At 59.8% G+C, this 13,232-nt stretch overlaps 2 protein-coding genes across 23 annotated transcripts in view, besides 6 other annotated features; one reads left to right on the plus strand and one right to left on the minus strand.

Moving 5' to 3' along the window:
• LIMS2 (LIM zinc finger domain containing 2) overlaps positions 1-13,232 on the minus strand; it is a 43,361-nt gene that overhangs the window by 2,737 nt on the left and 27,392 nt on the right. For 9 of the 19 annotated variants that reach the window (NM_001161404.2, XM_006712627.5, XM_005263710.3 and 6 more), the window contains 2 exons: positions 1,761-1,910; positions 887-1,037 (listed from right to left, as the gene is read on the minus strand). In NM_001161404.2, coding sequence (NP_001154876.1) covers positions 887-1,037; positions 1,761-1,910 — 301 coding nt within the window. Of the gene's footprint in view, positions 1-506; positions 863-886; positions 1,038-1,760; positions 1,911-6,484; positions 6,678-6,874; positions 7,434-8,325; positions 8,505-8,594; positions 9,381-11,802; positions 12,064-13,232 lie in introns of those variants that run through there. The other 10 variants (XM_047444970.1, XM_011511453.2, XM_047444976.1 and 7 more) reach the window with 9 other exon arrangements.
• GPR17 (G protein-coupled receptor 17) lies at positions 4,991-11,477 on the plus strand. 4 transcript variants are annotated; one of them, NM_001161415.2, is made up of 4 exons: positions 4,991-5,082; positions 6,896-7,124; positions 8,849-8,913; positions 9,554-11,477. In NM_001161415.2, exons 3-4 carry the CDS (start codon positions 8,850-8,852, stop codon positions 10,591-10,593), a joined length of 1,104 nt encoding a protein of 367 aa, NP_001154887.1. In that variant the 5' UTR covers positions 4,991-5,082; positions 6,896-7,124; position 8,849; the 3' UTR covers positions 10,594-11,477. The 4 variants fall into 4 exon arrangements, with proteins under 4 accessions (NP_001154887.1, NP_001154888.1, NP_005282.1 ...); NM_001161416.2 differs by lacking the exon at positions 8,849-8,913; NM_005291.3 differs by lacking the exon at positions 6,896-7,124.
• Positions 7,798-8,525: an enhancer, noted in NCBI's record as "H3K4me1 hESC enhancer chr2:128406535-128407262 (GRCh37/hg19 assembly coordinates)". NCBI's record gives its function as "activates a minimal SCP1, AML or CMV promoter by ChIP-STARR-seq in naive H9 embryonic stem cells {active_cell/tissue: H9 hESC(naive)}" and the evidence as "EXISTENCE:reporter gene assay evidence [ECO:0000049][PMID:30033119]".
• Positions 8,552-8,846: an enhancer, noted in NCBI's record as "tiled region #7437; K562 Activating DNase unmatched - State 12:CtcfO". NCBI's record gives its function as "activates a minimal TATA promoter and a strong SV40 promoter by Sharpr-MPRA in K562 cells {active_cell/tissue: K562}" and the evidence as "EXISTENCE:reporter gene assay evidence [ECO:0000049][PMID:27701403]".
• Positions 9,252-9,979: an enhancer, noted in NCBI's record as "H3K27ac-H3K4me1 hESC enhancer chr2:128407989-128408715 (GRCh37/hg19 assembly coordinates)". NCBI's record gives its function as "activates a minimal SCP1, AML or CMV promoter by ChIP-STARR-seq in naive H9 embryonic stem cells {active_cell/tissue: H9 hESC(naive)}" and the evidence as "EXISTENCE:reporter gene assay evidence [ECO:0000049][PMID:30033119]".
• Positions 9,980-10,705: an enhancer, noted in NCBI's record as "H3K27ac-H3K4me1 hESC enhancer chr2:128408716-128409441 (GRCh37/hg19 assembly coordinates)". NCBI's record gives its function as "activates a minimal SCP1, AML or CMV promoter by ChIP-STARR-seq in naive H9 embryonic stem cells {active_cell/tissue: H9 hESC(naive)}" and the evidence as "EXISTENCE:reporter gene assay evidence [ECO:0000049][PMID:30033119]".
• Positions 11,125-11,184: an enhancer, noted in NCBI's record as "active region_16499". NCBI's record gives its function as "activates an Ori minimal core promoter by ATAC-STARR-seq in GM12878 lymphoblastoid cells {active_cell/tissue: GM12878}" and the evidence as "EXISTENCE:reporter gene assay evidence [ECO:0000049][PMID:35858748]".
• Positions 11,225-11,304: an enhancer, noted in NCBI's record as "active region_16500". NCBI's record gives its function as "activates an Ori minimal core promoter by ATAC-STARR-seq in GM12878 lymphoblastoid cells {active_cell/tissue: GM12878}" and the evidence as "EXISTENCE:reporter gene assay evidence [ECO:0000049][PMID:35858748]".

Below are 13,232 nucleotides of genomic sequence, written 5' to 3' on the forward strand. Positions count from 1 at the left end.
GGCCTTTCAGGATTCACACTGGGCAGAGGGGACTGACACCTCTGTGAATGCCCTGGGGTCAGCAGACCCTACCCCTCCTCTAAGGCACTGATGGTAACCTTGTGAGTCACCATCCCCTCCCAGTCTGGCCTCCCCCTCGGCAGCCTCAGCCCCAGGAGTCAGGTGCCAGCCTGGTGCTGCGGCATGGTGGGCCCTCATAGGCAGAGGCGGCCCTGCCTGTCCACGTGGGGCCTCCTGCAGGCACCCCCTGCAAGCCTGGGATCACTGAGCAGCACCTTGCATTCCCCCAGGGATCTGCATGTGAGGATGAGGGCTGGGGGCTGGGGCCTGCATCAGGGCAGGACCGCATGGCCTCCCACCCAAGCCGCCACCCAAGGCACAGCTTCCGGACACAGCGCTGGCCAGGTCATCAGGGGAGGTGGTGGGCTCACTGTTCCCAGTGTACCCATGAGAACATGAGAGCCCACCACCCGGTGGGGGCACTCCAGGTGACCCAGTGCTCACACCTGAGGAACTCTTCAGCTCCGTGTCTGCACAGGGCTGTCCATGCAGCGGGTTCTGTCATCCACAACCCCCAGGCACTCTGGACAGACTGCCCCCAAGGTTTTCTCCTGACCTTGGAGTCTCTTAGAATGCCAGCAGGGGGAAGAGGAGAGGTGGGCACAGCTACCCAACCGTGTGTGTGCACTCGGGTCTCCTGGCTCCCGTGGGCAGGCTGGGGTCCCTGGCTGAGCACAGGGAGGGGCAGTACCCCTGAGGAAGGGCCTCGTTGGGAGCCAGCCACCCGCCCTGGGCTGGGAGTGTGGAGGAGCTTTAGGGCTCTTACCATGACCCTGAGCTGGGGCACCCCCCAACCTGAGGCCACGTGTCCACCAGCCTGGCTCACCTCCACGTGCCACTGCTTGCCCAGCGCGTTGACCACTCGGCCCTCGATGGGCCGGCGGCAGGCCCCGCAGATGGGGACGCCCATCTTGTCATGGCAGGGCAGGCAGTAGAGCTCACCCTTCAGCTCGCGGGCCTCGGCTGTCAGCTCCTTCCTGGAAGACAGCGTGCAGCCCCCAGGTGCCACCCCTGCCCTTCTGCAGGGTCATGCCAGCAGCGCCTCCACCCCAGGGCACGGCTCCCCGAGGGGCCCATTCTGTCCCTGCAGAGCCGAGGCGGCAGCGCCTTCTGATCTCTGGGCACTTTGAAGACTTCCTGTGCCCCAGACAGGCCCTGGAGCACAGACTTCCTGCACAGCCCAGAAGAGTGGGCTGTGTTCTGCACCCAGGCCTCTGAGAAGCAGGTCTGTTCTTGGGCCCCCCTCCTCCTCCAAACCAGAGGGGGTGTCTGGATAGGCACGGAGAGGACTGGAGGGGACGGTGGGGGTGGGCGAGGACGGGGGCTGAGGGGCTGCCTATGCAACTCCTCTCTCCAACACCAGCACCAAGCCCACTCCCGGTCTCTTGCCCTGCCCCCTCAGGTCCCTTCCACTGCTCCATCTCAACCCTCGTCTGCAGTCTAGGGGTCCAGCCCACCCGCCTCCTGAGTCTCAAGTGCCCCCCAAACAGAGCCCTGGAGAGAGAAGCTTCCTGCCATGGCTGCTTCCCAGCCCCCAGCCCACCTCTGCCCTGCAGCCTTGCTCTCGGGACCCCTCTGTCTGCCCACCCTGCTCCCCTCTCCCTCCTCAACACTTCCCCAGGTGGAGGCCCCACCGCCCTTACCCTGGGCCAGCCCTGGCTCCCCGCCCCCACAACTGCAGGGCCGGGCTGCGCACCTACCCACAGTGGGTGCAGTTGAAGTGGTCAGGGTGGTAGGCGTCGCTCCTGAACATGAGGGGCTGCTCGTCGATGACCAGGTGGCACCGCTGGCAGATGTACTTGCCCAGGCCCTTGGCCTTCTCACGGTTGTGGCAAGGCCGGCAGAGATGCCTGCGGGAGGCGGGGGCATTAGGGGCAGAGCCCCCACTCCCACACAGCCTGGCCACCTCCAGGAGAAGAGAGGCCAGACCCCTGCAACTTCACTGAGCAGCTGGGGGCTTCAAAGGGGCTCAGCCCAGGGTATGGGAAAGCAGACTGCCCTGTCACAAGGCCCAGAAGGTCACAAGTGTGTCCTGGGAATGGGACGCATGCTCAGCAGGAAAGATGCCAGAATGCTCGAGGTTACTGTCTCTGGATGGTATTTTCCTCTTTCTACTTTCTCTAAGCCTGGGGCATGCTGCAGAATACAGTAGACATTTAATTGATATCTGCTGAAAGCATTATTTTCCCAATGTATTTAACACACACGAGTTATAATGAGTGTCACTGTGCCCAGCAGAGTGGCCAGTGAGTGTCCCGGGAGGCCCACTCACCCCCTTCCTTCGGGGTTTGCCAGATGAAGAAGGGCCCAAACACGTACAGGCGATTTCTGTCTCCAAAGACAAGCACTGCTATGTCAGATGGAGGCCCCCAAACCCAGGAACTGTCACTACAGAGTCTTTTTGTGAAGACCTCAGAATAATTTCTGATGCTACTCGCTGTGTTGGACGACAGCTGTGTTCTCAACGGAGAGACAAATCAACATGGTTTCTGTTTCCTTGGACCTCAAAGGTGGCAGGAATCTAGATTCAGAGTCCCCAGGCAAAGATACACAAAGGCCCCAATCCAACCTCCCTGGCCCCCGTCTCCACCTGCCACCCGAATCTCTCTCTGGTGCTCCTGCTGCATCCAGGCCTCCCTTCCCAGGCCCCCCAGCCCCAGGGGCCCTCTCCACTCCTCACGAGCCTCCACGGCTGCCCGACGCCCAGTGTTGGCCCCTCTGACAGGCTGGTCAGGGAGGATACGGAAGAGATCCAATCGCAGACCCAAGATCCCCACCCAGGTTATGGTGGGCAGACCCCAGATGCCAGGGCCACCCATTCAGCATCCCTCCCTGGACCCCAGGACCTGCTACTGCTGGGTGTCTGGACTCCATCCTGCACAGCACTGTGCTCCATCTGCCCTGGGGTGTCTCATCATCAGCTGTGTGCAGGGCAAGGGGCCCAAACAAAGGCCCAGCAGTCACTGGCTAAGCTGCCGACTGGCTCTCTGTGCCTCCCCAAGACCCTATGTGCCCAGCAGGGGGCAACAGCTCAGGGTCAGCTGACCGAATGCCTCGGTGAATGAATGACTCTACAAGAGAGGAAGGGAGCCTCGGTGGGCATCATCTCCCCTCGACTACTGGCCAGAGCCCTGGCTCTTACACCCCAGCGACGGGAAGCAGTTGTGGCCTGTGGCTTCAGTCTTCATCACCACAATCCCTGAAGCCCACCCTTGCCCAGACACCTGTGCCCCAGCCCCAACCCCAGGCCACCTCCTCAGCAGGTCTGGGGCTGAGCTGCCCCACCTGGCGCCTATGGCGGCCAGCCCATGCCCCCTGCGGTGCCTCTGTCCCAGACTCAGCATGTAGGCCCCATGACCCCACTCCACATTCTGGTGACTCCTCCTGAGCGTCAGGACAACACTCAACCCACGAGGAATTATTTCTGTCTCAAAGATGCAGGAATCAGCTCAACGCCTCAAAACTCCATCACCACGGTCAATGCCCTTGAAGCCATCGACAGTGATCACCCCAATAACAGAAGGTCTGTGAGCCCAGAAATGCCCTGCTCAGGGTGGTTAGCTTCAAGCCACCACCTTTCCAACCAGCCTGGGCCAGTTCTTCCAGACAGCCGCCTGCGGGCACAACAGGAAAGAGACCTGCGCCCCGGCTCAGACACCTCACACCCAGCTGGCTCTCAGGCCAGACAAACTGGGAAGCCCATCTCTCTTGAAGGAAGTCCAGATGGGAAACAGCTTCTCAACAGACCAGATCACAGCATCAGATCTAAAGGTGGCCTTCAGAATTCTTTTTCAGGTTGAATTAGGATCAAATCTAAGAATTCTAAATTCAAAATGCAGCAGAAAAACAAAACACACACACACACGGAGCCTAAGTTCTGGAGTGACATGTGCTTGGGTTCAAATCCTGGCTCTGTTGCTTCCTACTGTTTGTTGATGGGTGAGTTTCTTCATTTGCCTGAGCCTCAGTTTCCTTGTCTGTAAAATGGGGCAATAATCCCAGCTGCACAGGGTGATGTGAAGAGACAAATTTAAGACACTGCCCCTTAAATGCTAGCCACATACATACAGTTTTCAATGTTTAAACAACAAAATGTAAAGTCTTTTGAAACCAGGAAGGGTGATTTGGTTTCCCATGTTGCTGGATGTATCATTTTCAGAAAGACAGAGAGAAATGAACTTTGTTCACTCAGTCTCAGAGGCGGCCGCCGGCAGCATTCAAAGGCACCCCAGCCCGGAGCCACCCCAGGGAGGAGCCCCAGGCCAGCGGTCAGATTCATGGGCTTCCGTGCAGAAGGGGAGCTGCACCGGCGAGCACCCGGCCTCTGAGCTGAGCCGCATCCTCACGGACAGGACAGCGCCCCATTATGAGGCTCCTGCAGCTGTTCCTCGCTCCAGATAAAGGCCATGATTTATTCTGTGTGCCCAAATGGGGCCTCATTATACAGGGCAGGACACAAGGACCCTACAGCAAGTGTCCTCAAAGAGTCGCCTCTCACTCCGTGAGCAAGACTCCTCGGCCTCCCACCCTCCGTTCACAGGCCCCCTCCGCCGTCTGCGGGCGCAGGCCTGGGAGCGCCGCCTGTTGCCATGACAGCCGGCCCCTCCCTGCCCCCCATCAGTAGGAAATCATCCCCTTCTGAAACGTCCTGTTGTGTCCCTCAGCTCCAGCCCAAGCCCCCCACCCAGCCCCCGCCTGCTCTGAGTCTCTGAGACAGTCACACACTCAGACTATGTGGCCAAGCTGGGGGCGGGGGGCATGGGCTAGGGACACACTAGAATATTCACGCTCCGGTGGCAGCAGCAGCAGCAGCCAGAGGAGCAGCCCGACACAACAAGGGACCCCTCAGGAATGAAGCAGCCTTTCAGGGCCAGAGGGGCTGTGGTCTCCCTTCCTCTCCTTAAATAGCCAGCGTTCCACCCACAGCGGCAAGGAGCCCCCTGCCACCACCGACACCCACGGGCGGAGATCACCTGCTGCCCCGCAGACCCCTGTCCCTTCCTCCCGGACCAGCAGCTAGAGGTAAGGGGCAGGCTGGGTGGGGTGGACTGGGAGCCCAGGGCTAAGCAGAGGAAACACTCAGCGGGGAGCCCTGCCCAGGGAGACAGGCAGCAGCCTGTCTCGTCCCATCTCTTTGGTGATGGTCTGACCTGTGCATCGAAGGCTGACCACAGTCTGAATTCACAGCAGCCCACAAAGCGGTGTTTCGTCCCTCTGATGGGGGCTTGCAGAGGGGAAGTGGCTTGCCGGCAGTCCAGGCTGCAATGACAGCACCGCTGCCCCTAACCATTAGGCAGCCTTGACCCATAGAGGAGCCAGATGCCTGGGAGAGGGCTCGGGCCAGGGATGGAGTGGCGCTAATGCAAAGGAAACTGCCACCACCTGGCCATGGCGCTGCCACCACAGGCCCTCCCCGAGGCCACACATGCCCACCTGCCACCTCCACAGAGGCCTATGACCTGTCCTAGATGCTCGACTCACCCACAGCCACGGGACCCAACACTGCCCAGGCCCCGGCCCATGCCACGCCCTTTCCTCTTACGGACACCGGCTCGGTGGCCGTCTGACCAGTGAGTCGTGAGGAACCAGCGAGTCTAGACTGAAGTTTGTGTTTCTAAAGGGCAACAGAGAGTGAAGCGGGGCCCATCTCAGACCAAACTGCAACAATCAGTATCAGAACTCCTCAAACGGGGGACAGAAAGGGAGAAGAAACCTCAGCAAACCTGAAACCAACCAGAAAGCTGTTTAAAATGGAGTCTCAGTCCCAGAGAGAGCGAGGGGCACGCCCTTCGGCCCGGGCAGGAAGTGGAGGGCAGTGCCCAGGCTGAGGCCCCCGGGCTGGAGGCAGGAGGCACCACAGGCCCACCTGGTGCCATGAGATATGCCACCCCTGCCGTCACTCAGGGCCCTGAGCCCAGTAACACTCTGCCGTCACTGTCCTGAAACTCTTCCTTTTTGAGCAAGGGGCTGCACATTCTCATTTCATACATGGGCCCCTAAAATGAGGGAGTGGCCCCAGGGCCAGGAGGGGGTGCTGAGCCTGGGAGACAACTCCATGGCAAACTCTGAGACTGAGTCACACTCCCCACCCTGGCGGTCTTCCAGGGAGTGAGACCGTTTCCCCGGTCTCACTTCCAGCTCCAGGGCCAATGTCCCCTGGTCAAGTGACCTAAGACAAGTTAGCAGACACTCAGCCTTGACTCCCTAACCTGCAACATGGGGCTAAAACTGGTTTGAGCCAGCACAGGCAGGCCCCCACCATGCCAGGCAGAGTGGTCAGTCGTACCTATGAGCTGCTCTCTCGTGGGGCCAGGTGATGCCTGCACTGTGGGGCACAGCACAGGCCTGAGGGACAGCCTGGGGTGGAGGGCACCCACCTTGGCCCCTTCCCACCCCCAGGTTCTAACAAGGGCCCCTCACTCACTGGGCCCCCTCTCCTCTTCCAGTCTCCAGGGCCTCCCCGCACACACCTTCCTCCTCTCCTGCCAACCTGAAAACAGCACACCTGTGTGCCCCTCCCATCTACCATGGGCTGTCCTCTCTGCTTGCCCATGCGTCTGCCCTGGAGCCCTGTTCCTCCAGTCTCCGGGTCCTCACCCCCAGCACATGCAACACGACACCCTCAAAGTCATGGGCCCCCCTCCCCTGCCACCGTCCCACCGGTACCTGCTCCCTGTTCTCCCCTGCCTCACAGGCCCTGTCAAGGGCTGTGTTCCTCCCTCCTTTTACCTCTCCTCCACAGCCCCCTTCACAGCCCTCAGCCCTTCCCCAGGGCTTCAGCCAAGCCTGTCTCCCTCTCCCAAGCATCACTCACCCCGCCTTCTTCGGCCCTCAGCTCTCCGCCCTCACCGTGGTTTTAGCAGTCCTAGGGAAAGTGCCAGCCGAGACCAGCCAGACCAAGTCAGAGTACTGTGGAACCTGGATTCCTGGGGAATGGGGTCCCCATGAGGAACTCCACATTGGACTAAGAACAGACCCTGTTCCTGGAAGCAGCAGGAAACCATCTCTGGTGTTAGAACTTCAGGCATCTTGAAACACTCTGAAGCCGGGGGCAATCTTTTCAGGTAGGGGAACCTGCCTAGAGAAATAGCTAAAAGGTAATATTATTAGGTAGTTGCCCTCCCCTTTGCTTGAGGACATTGATGGCCAGGTGCTCGGGCCAGCCCTCACCCTCCATGTGAGGGCCACAGCAGCTGGCCACTCGCTCTCCTGAAGGAAGGGTGCGGCCCACCCTTCCCTAGGGCTAGGGCCACCACCATGCCTGCTTCTCCTCCATATGAGGATGGCTCCAGCCTCCTCCTCGAGGGGCTGCTGTGTCCATGAACAGTCACCATGCCCTCTCTGCCCCGTGCCACCAGCATCCTGAGACAGCCCTGTGGAATCAGTAAGAGGAGAGGGGCTGGGCGCAGTGACTCATGCCTGTAATCCCAGCACTTTGGGAGGCCAAGGAGCACTTTGGGAGGCCAAGGAGAGAGGATCACTTGAGCCCAGGAGTTTGAGACCAGCCTGGGCAACATGGCAAAACCGTCTCTACCAAAAAATACAAAAATTAGCCGGGTGTGGTGGTGTGCGCCTGTAGTCCCAGCTATTCAGGAGGTTGAGGTGGGAGGATCACTTGAGCCCTGGAGGTTGAGGCTGCAGTGAGCTGATTGCACCACTGCACTCCAGCCTGGGTGACAGAGGGAGACCTTGAAAAAGAGAAAGAAAAAAAGAAAAAAGAGAGGGAGGGGAGGGGAGGGGAGGGGGGGAGGGGAGGGAGGGGAGGGGAGGGAGGGGAGGGGAGGAAGGGGAGGGAGGGAGGAAAGAAAGAAAAAGAAAGAAAGAGAAAAGAAGAAAGGAAGGAAGGAAGGAAAAAGAAAAGAAAAAAAGAAAAAAGAAAAGAAAAAAGGAAAATAAAGAAAAGCAAGCAAACAAGCAAAGCGAAGTGAGAGAGAGAGGAAGGTAGGAAGGAAGGAAGGAAGGAAGGAAGGAAGGAAGGAAGGAAGGAAGGGCAGGGAGAAATGTGCAGAGTGAATTTGCTGCAGGCAGGACCCCGGCTGTTCGGTGCAGAGCCAGGCTCGCCCAGGATGAGGACCCTGCCAGGGCTGTGGCCCGTGCCTCCTCCCCTCCTGCTGCCACAATGGGCACAGGCAGGATGCCAGCTTCTCTTATGCAAACCTCTCTCCAGCCTCTGCTTCAGCCTGGCTGTGCAGGGTGGGGATGGTGGATACTGGGAAGCCAGGTGCCCAGAGGAGCCCCAGAAGCTGTGCCATCATCAGCACCCACCTGGCCGAAGCCCGCTGGTGACCCCAATTCAAAGGCAGGCCAGGTGCGCTGTCCTGCCCTGGTTCCGGGCTGCGGGCTGCTCTGGCCCCACCGCCTGCCCACACTGCCACTCGCAGGCCTGGGTTGGGGAGGCAGAGTGTTTGGGACCCTCACTCTCCTTCTTCAATCTTCTGAGTTGACTAAAATCAAAACAAGAGTGGGTTTCTCTGCTGAGGGTGGGGAGCACCCTATCCAGACCCAGGGTTCACCAGACGGACATGACTTGTTACCCAGGACTGTCACAGGGCTCTGCACTTGGCCTTCAAACGTGGGCAAGCCACGAGGCCTCCAGGCCTCTCTGGGGCTGCAGATCCGTCCTCAACAGCGCTGGCCAGTGTCTCTGACGCTGGGTAAAATGGGTCTTCCCCTCCTGGAAGAGATGCTGCCCCCTGGTGGTGGATCTACTCTGGGAGAGAAAATACTCCCAGCTGGCCTGATACCCAGGCACAGGCTTCTCCTAAACACAGGTCTCCCCACCTGTCAGGATGTCCAAACGGAGTTGGTGGGCTGGATCCAGAAAGCCCCCAAGAGAGATGCTGAAACTCTCAGGTGGGTAAAAAGAGTAGACCTCTGACGTCCCAGGGTACAGCCCTTGCTGCCATCCTGGGGGCACCCTCCTAAGTGCCAGGGGCAAGCCATGGTCAGGGGAAGCAGAAAGCGGTGACACCCCGGCCACTGCACCTGTGGGCAGGTGGGTCAGGGAGGGTCCAGGCACTCAGGATGAACAGAACTCACCTGCCAAGGCTTGGGCTGAGGAGGAGCTGGAATCCCGGAGACACACTGCCCCCGCCCCTCACCACCCCTGTCACTCAGACAGCACACCTCAGAGGCAGAACAGAAAACCCAGAGCCTCACCCAGGCAAGGCTCACGTCCCATTCCCCGCCATGGCACTGACCCGGTCCTCCCAGCTCTGAGGAGCCTCAGATCTCCTGGGTGGCAGGGGTGCAGCTGCATAGCGGCGAAATTCCAAGCCCTGGTTCTGCGTTTGCCTTGTGCTGAAGTTCAGAATGCCTCTGACGCTCACGCACACCAAATGGACAAGGAGGTCCCCTCAGCAGCCCCGTGGGCGGTGCTGAGCTTGAAAGTGGGAGGTTCTGAAGGCATTGGAGGCCTGACTTCTGGACTTCAGAGAGCGTGAAGCTGCCTAGATCGCAAGCTCATTGTGAACTGTTTGCTTGTTCCCTCCAGGCTCTGACTCCAGCCAAAGCATGAATGGCCTTGAAGTGGCTCCCCCAGGTCTGATCACCAACTTCTCCCTGGCCACGGCAGAGCAATGTGGCCAGGAGACGCCACTGGAGAACATGCTGTTCGCCTCCTTCTACCTTCTGGATTTTATCCTGGCTTTAGTTGGCAATACCCTGGCTCTGTGGCTTTTCATCCGAGACCACAAGTCCGGGACCCCGGCCAACGTGTTCCTGATGCATCTGGCCGTGGCCGACTTGTCGTGCGTGCTGGTCCTGCCCACCCGCCTGGTCTACCACTTCTCTGGGAACCACTGGCCATTTGGGGAAATCGCATGCCGTCTCACCGGCTTCCTCTTCTACCTCAACATGTACGCCAGCATCTACTTCCTCACCTGCATCAGCGCCGACCGTTTCCTGGCCATTGTGCACCCGGTCAAGTCCCTCAAGCTCCGCAGGCCCCTCTACGCACACCTGGCCTGTGCCTTCCTGTGGGTGGTGGTGGCTGTGGCCATGGCCCCGCTGCTGGTGAGCCCACAGACCGTGCAGACCAACCACACGGTGGTCTGCCTGCAGCTGTACCGGGAGAAGGCCTCCCACCATGCCCTGGTGTCCCTGGCAGTGGCCTTCACCTTCCCGTTCATCACCACGGTCACCTGCTACCTGCTGATCATCCGCAGCCTGCGGCAGGGCCTGCGTGTGGAGAAGCGCCTCAAGACCAAGGCAGTGCGCATGATCGCCATAGTGCTGGCCATCTTCCTGGTCTGCTTCGTGCCCTACCACGTCAACCGCTCCGTCTACGTGCTGCACTACCGCAGCCATGGGGCCTCCTGCGCCACCCAGCGCATCCTGGCCCTGGCAAACCGCATCACCTCCTGCCTCACCAGCCTCAACGGGGCACTCGACCCCATCATGTATTTCTTCGTGGCTGAGAAGTTCCGCCACGCCCTGTGCAACTTGCTCTGTGGCAAAAGGCTCAAGGGCCCGCCCCCCAGCTTCGAAGGGAAAACCAACGAGAGCTCGCTGAGTGCCAAGTCAGAGCTGTGAGCGGGGGGCGCCGTCCAGGCCGAGCGCAGACTGTTTAGGACTCAGCAGACCCAGCAAGAGGCATCTGCCCTTTCCCCAGCCACCTCCCCAGCAAGCAACCTGAAATCTCAGCAGATGCCCACCATTTCTCTAGATCGCCTAGTCTCAACCCATAAAAAGGAAGAACTGACAAAGGGGATCCATCGGCCACCCCTCTGCAGGGGCTTGTGATGGCTACAATGGCTCCTAGACACTCAACGACTTCATCTGTGGCAGGGAGAGAGGAGGCCGGAAGAACAACCCCTGAACAATGGAGGCCTTTCTTTCCCGCTAGGCTCCCAGCCTCCTTCCCGCTACAGAATCGCTCATCGGCGAGGCTCAGCAGAAAGACCCTGAAGGCAGGCTGCAAATGACCCAGAAGAGGGACCTGGGAGTCCTGGTGGGGACGGGGAGGGAGTCTCAATACTCCTTTGCAGTGCAAGGTACTCTGAGTCCCCTCTGTAGTGCCTCTGCCAGACACACACTGCCTGAGTTGAAGAGACACAGGCCACACATTTCAGGCTGGTTGCCAGCGGACGTCAGCACTCACGGCCTGCAGGGACTCAGCACAGCTCTGGATTCTGGATCTCTCCTGCTGTAACCCCACGCACAAGCCTGCAACCCCCAGAGCTCTTTGACAGGCTCCCAGGCCTCCCAGTCCTGGACAAGCATGTGCAGTCACGGGAGCTCAGCTCAGGCCAGGGCTGGGCTGTGCACCTGCCTCCCACTGACCCAGACCCACTTCCTCCAGAGAGGCCTCTCTCCGCCTGAGCTATTTCCCTTGCTAGTGTGCAGATATTTCCCTAACATGTCCTTTTTTGTATTTGTTTGTACGGACCATAAATATAACTGTAGCTTTAAGACTACACAGGTTGTTATGTTTGGTCAACATGAAGCGTTTCCCAGAACTTCTCTGACCCAAGAATGGTGAAGTGGTGGTACAGTGGCAGAGGCAGCCTCGTGGGCTCTCTTGCTGGGGCTCTGGCAGCTCACAGCACATCTGCCCAGATTCTGAGGTTCTGCACTGTGGGGCTGGGAGGGCCAAGTAGGGGCCCTCATTCCTCACTCTAGCTGCCACCCTGCACCGTCCTTACGGCAACATGCTTTTGTAGCATGTTTGACTTTCCAAAACGTTTCCAGCATCTTTCAGATTTCCCCAACCAGCCCTTGGGGCAGTGGCCCTGTGCAAACCTTGGCTCAGGAAGGAGATTGGGCTCGCTCCACACACCCTGTCGGCGACGTTGCTGGTCAGCACGAGCTCCTGGTGCTGTCCCTCGGCCCCTGCACTGCACCGTCTGCCCCTCAGCCCTTCATTTAGACAAGCTGCTCAATGCCAGGCACCGCCCAGCTCCGAGGACAGTGGGCCGGACGCCAGGCCCCAGGCCACGTGCCTCTCTCACGGGCAGCACACGGACAAGAGCTCGGTAGTGTCGGGGAAGCATCTCGGAGGAGCTGCGGGAGGGAGCAGAGTGCCCGGACAGAGAGAGTGTGGCAGGGGAAGCATGGCTGGGGCCTCTGGGGGTCGGCGCTGCCTCTCACTGATACAGGGGACGCATGCAGAGGCAGCCTTGGTGGTCAGTGGAGGAGAATCCCAAACTGCTTGTGCCTCATTGCGTTTGGGATGCCTGGTGGACACCAAGTGGAGGTGACATGTGGGCAGCTGAGGACAGCGAGAGAGAGGCCTGAAGTGGAGCCTGGAATTCTCCAGACACATGTGCCATTTAGGGCTCTAGGATTCTGTCTGCAAGGGCAGCCATGAGGGCCGGGCACGGAGCCCCAGACGACTCCCCATGGAGAGACAGGGAGAAAGGTGACTCAGAGGAGGGGAGTGAGCAGGTGCAGCTGTGGGGGCGGGCAGAACCACAGGAACTCAGGGTCCCGGGTGCCAGAAGGGGGGCGTTTCTGCACCTCAGCAGCTGTGGTGAGGGCTGCTGAGGGGTCAAGAGGAGGTGTGGGTCCCTGGGCAGATGAGGCCAGGGTAGCACACGCGAGGGGCAGCGGGTGTGCTGGGAGAAGCCGGGGAGGAAGGCCCAGCAGTGTTTTTAACCCAGCTCCCCAGCCCAGTCCTTCAGAAAGGACGAGAGAGTGGCGTGGAGAAGCAAGCCCTGGAGAAAGTGTGGGGATGAACAGGGCTCACAGACAGAGGCCGGGCTGCACGGGATCTCAGAGCTAGGGCCAGGGGAGGTGGGAGACAAGGCCACCTGCTATAGGGACAGTGCTTGGGAAGGGAGGATGAGAGACCAAGGGTTCGCAGAAGGTGGGAACTTCTGGAGTACCCATGAGGTTTGTGGCCCTCAATTTAGAGTAAATGTGGGCATCTCCCTCCAGCCACACTGAGCTGCACAGGTACAGGCAGGAGAAGGTGGACAGGTGGGGTCAGTAGATGGGGTGGCCAGGGGGGTGGCAGAGTGTGAGGATTTCTCATGGCTCCCGAGAGGCTGCCAGGAGCTCGCTGAGCGTGGGGCCCTGTAAACTGGGAGCTGGACTATCCGCCCCGGGGTGACCTGGAGGGAGGGCAGCTACATCAGTGCAGGCTGCAGCACCGGGACCCTTCTGCGCCCTCAGCAAGTGGGTAGCACACAGGAGAGGTGGCAGGTGTGCCAGGAAGGGCTGTGGCCCAG

This window comes from Homo sapiens, chromosome 2 (assembly GCF_000001405.40).
Source record: "Homo sapiens chromosome 2, GRCh38.p14 Primary Assembly".
NCBI classification, from domain to species: domain Eukaryota; kingdom Metazoa; phylum Chordata; class Mammalia; order Primates; family Hominidae; genus Homo; species Homo sapiens.

What these genes read in the sequence shown, in the direction of transcription:
- GPR17 (NM_001161415.2), top strand. Translation starts at nt 8,850, where the DNA reads ATGTCCAAACGGAGTTGGTGGGCTGGATCCAGAAAGCCCCCAAGAGAG. An exon ending in AGAGATGCTGAAACTCTCAG is followed by an intron (nt 8,914 to 9,553) that starts GTGGGTAAAAAG and finishes TGTTCCCTCCAG; the next exon opens with GCTCTGACTCCAGCCAAAGC.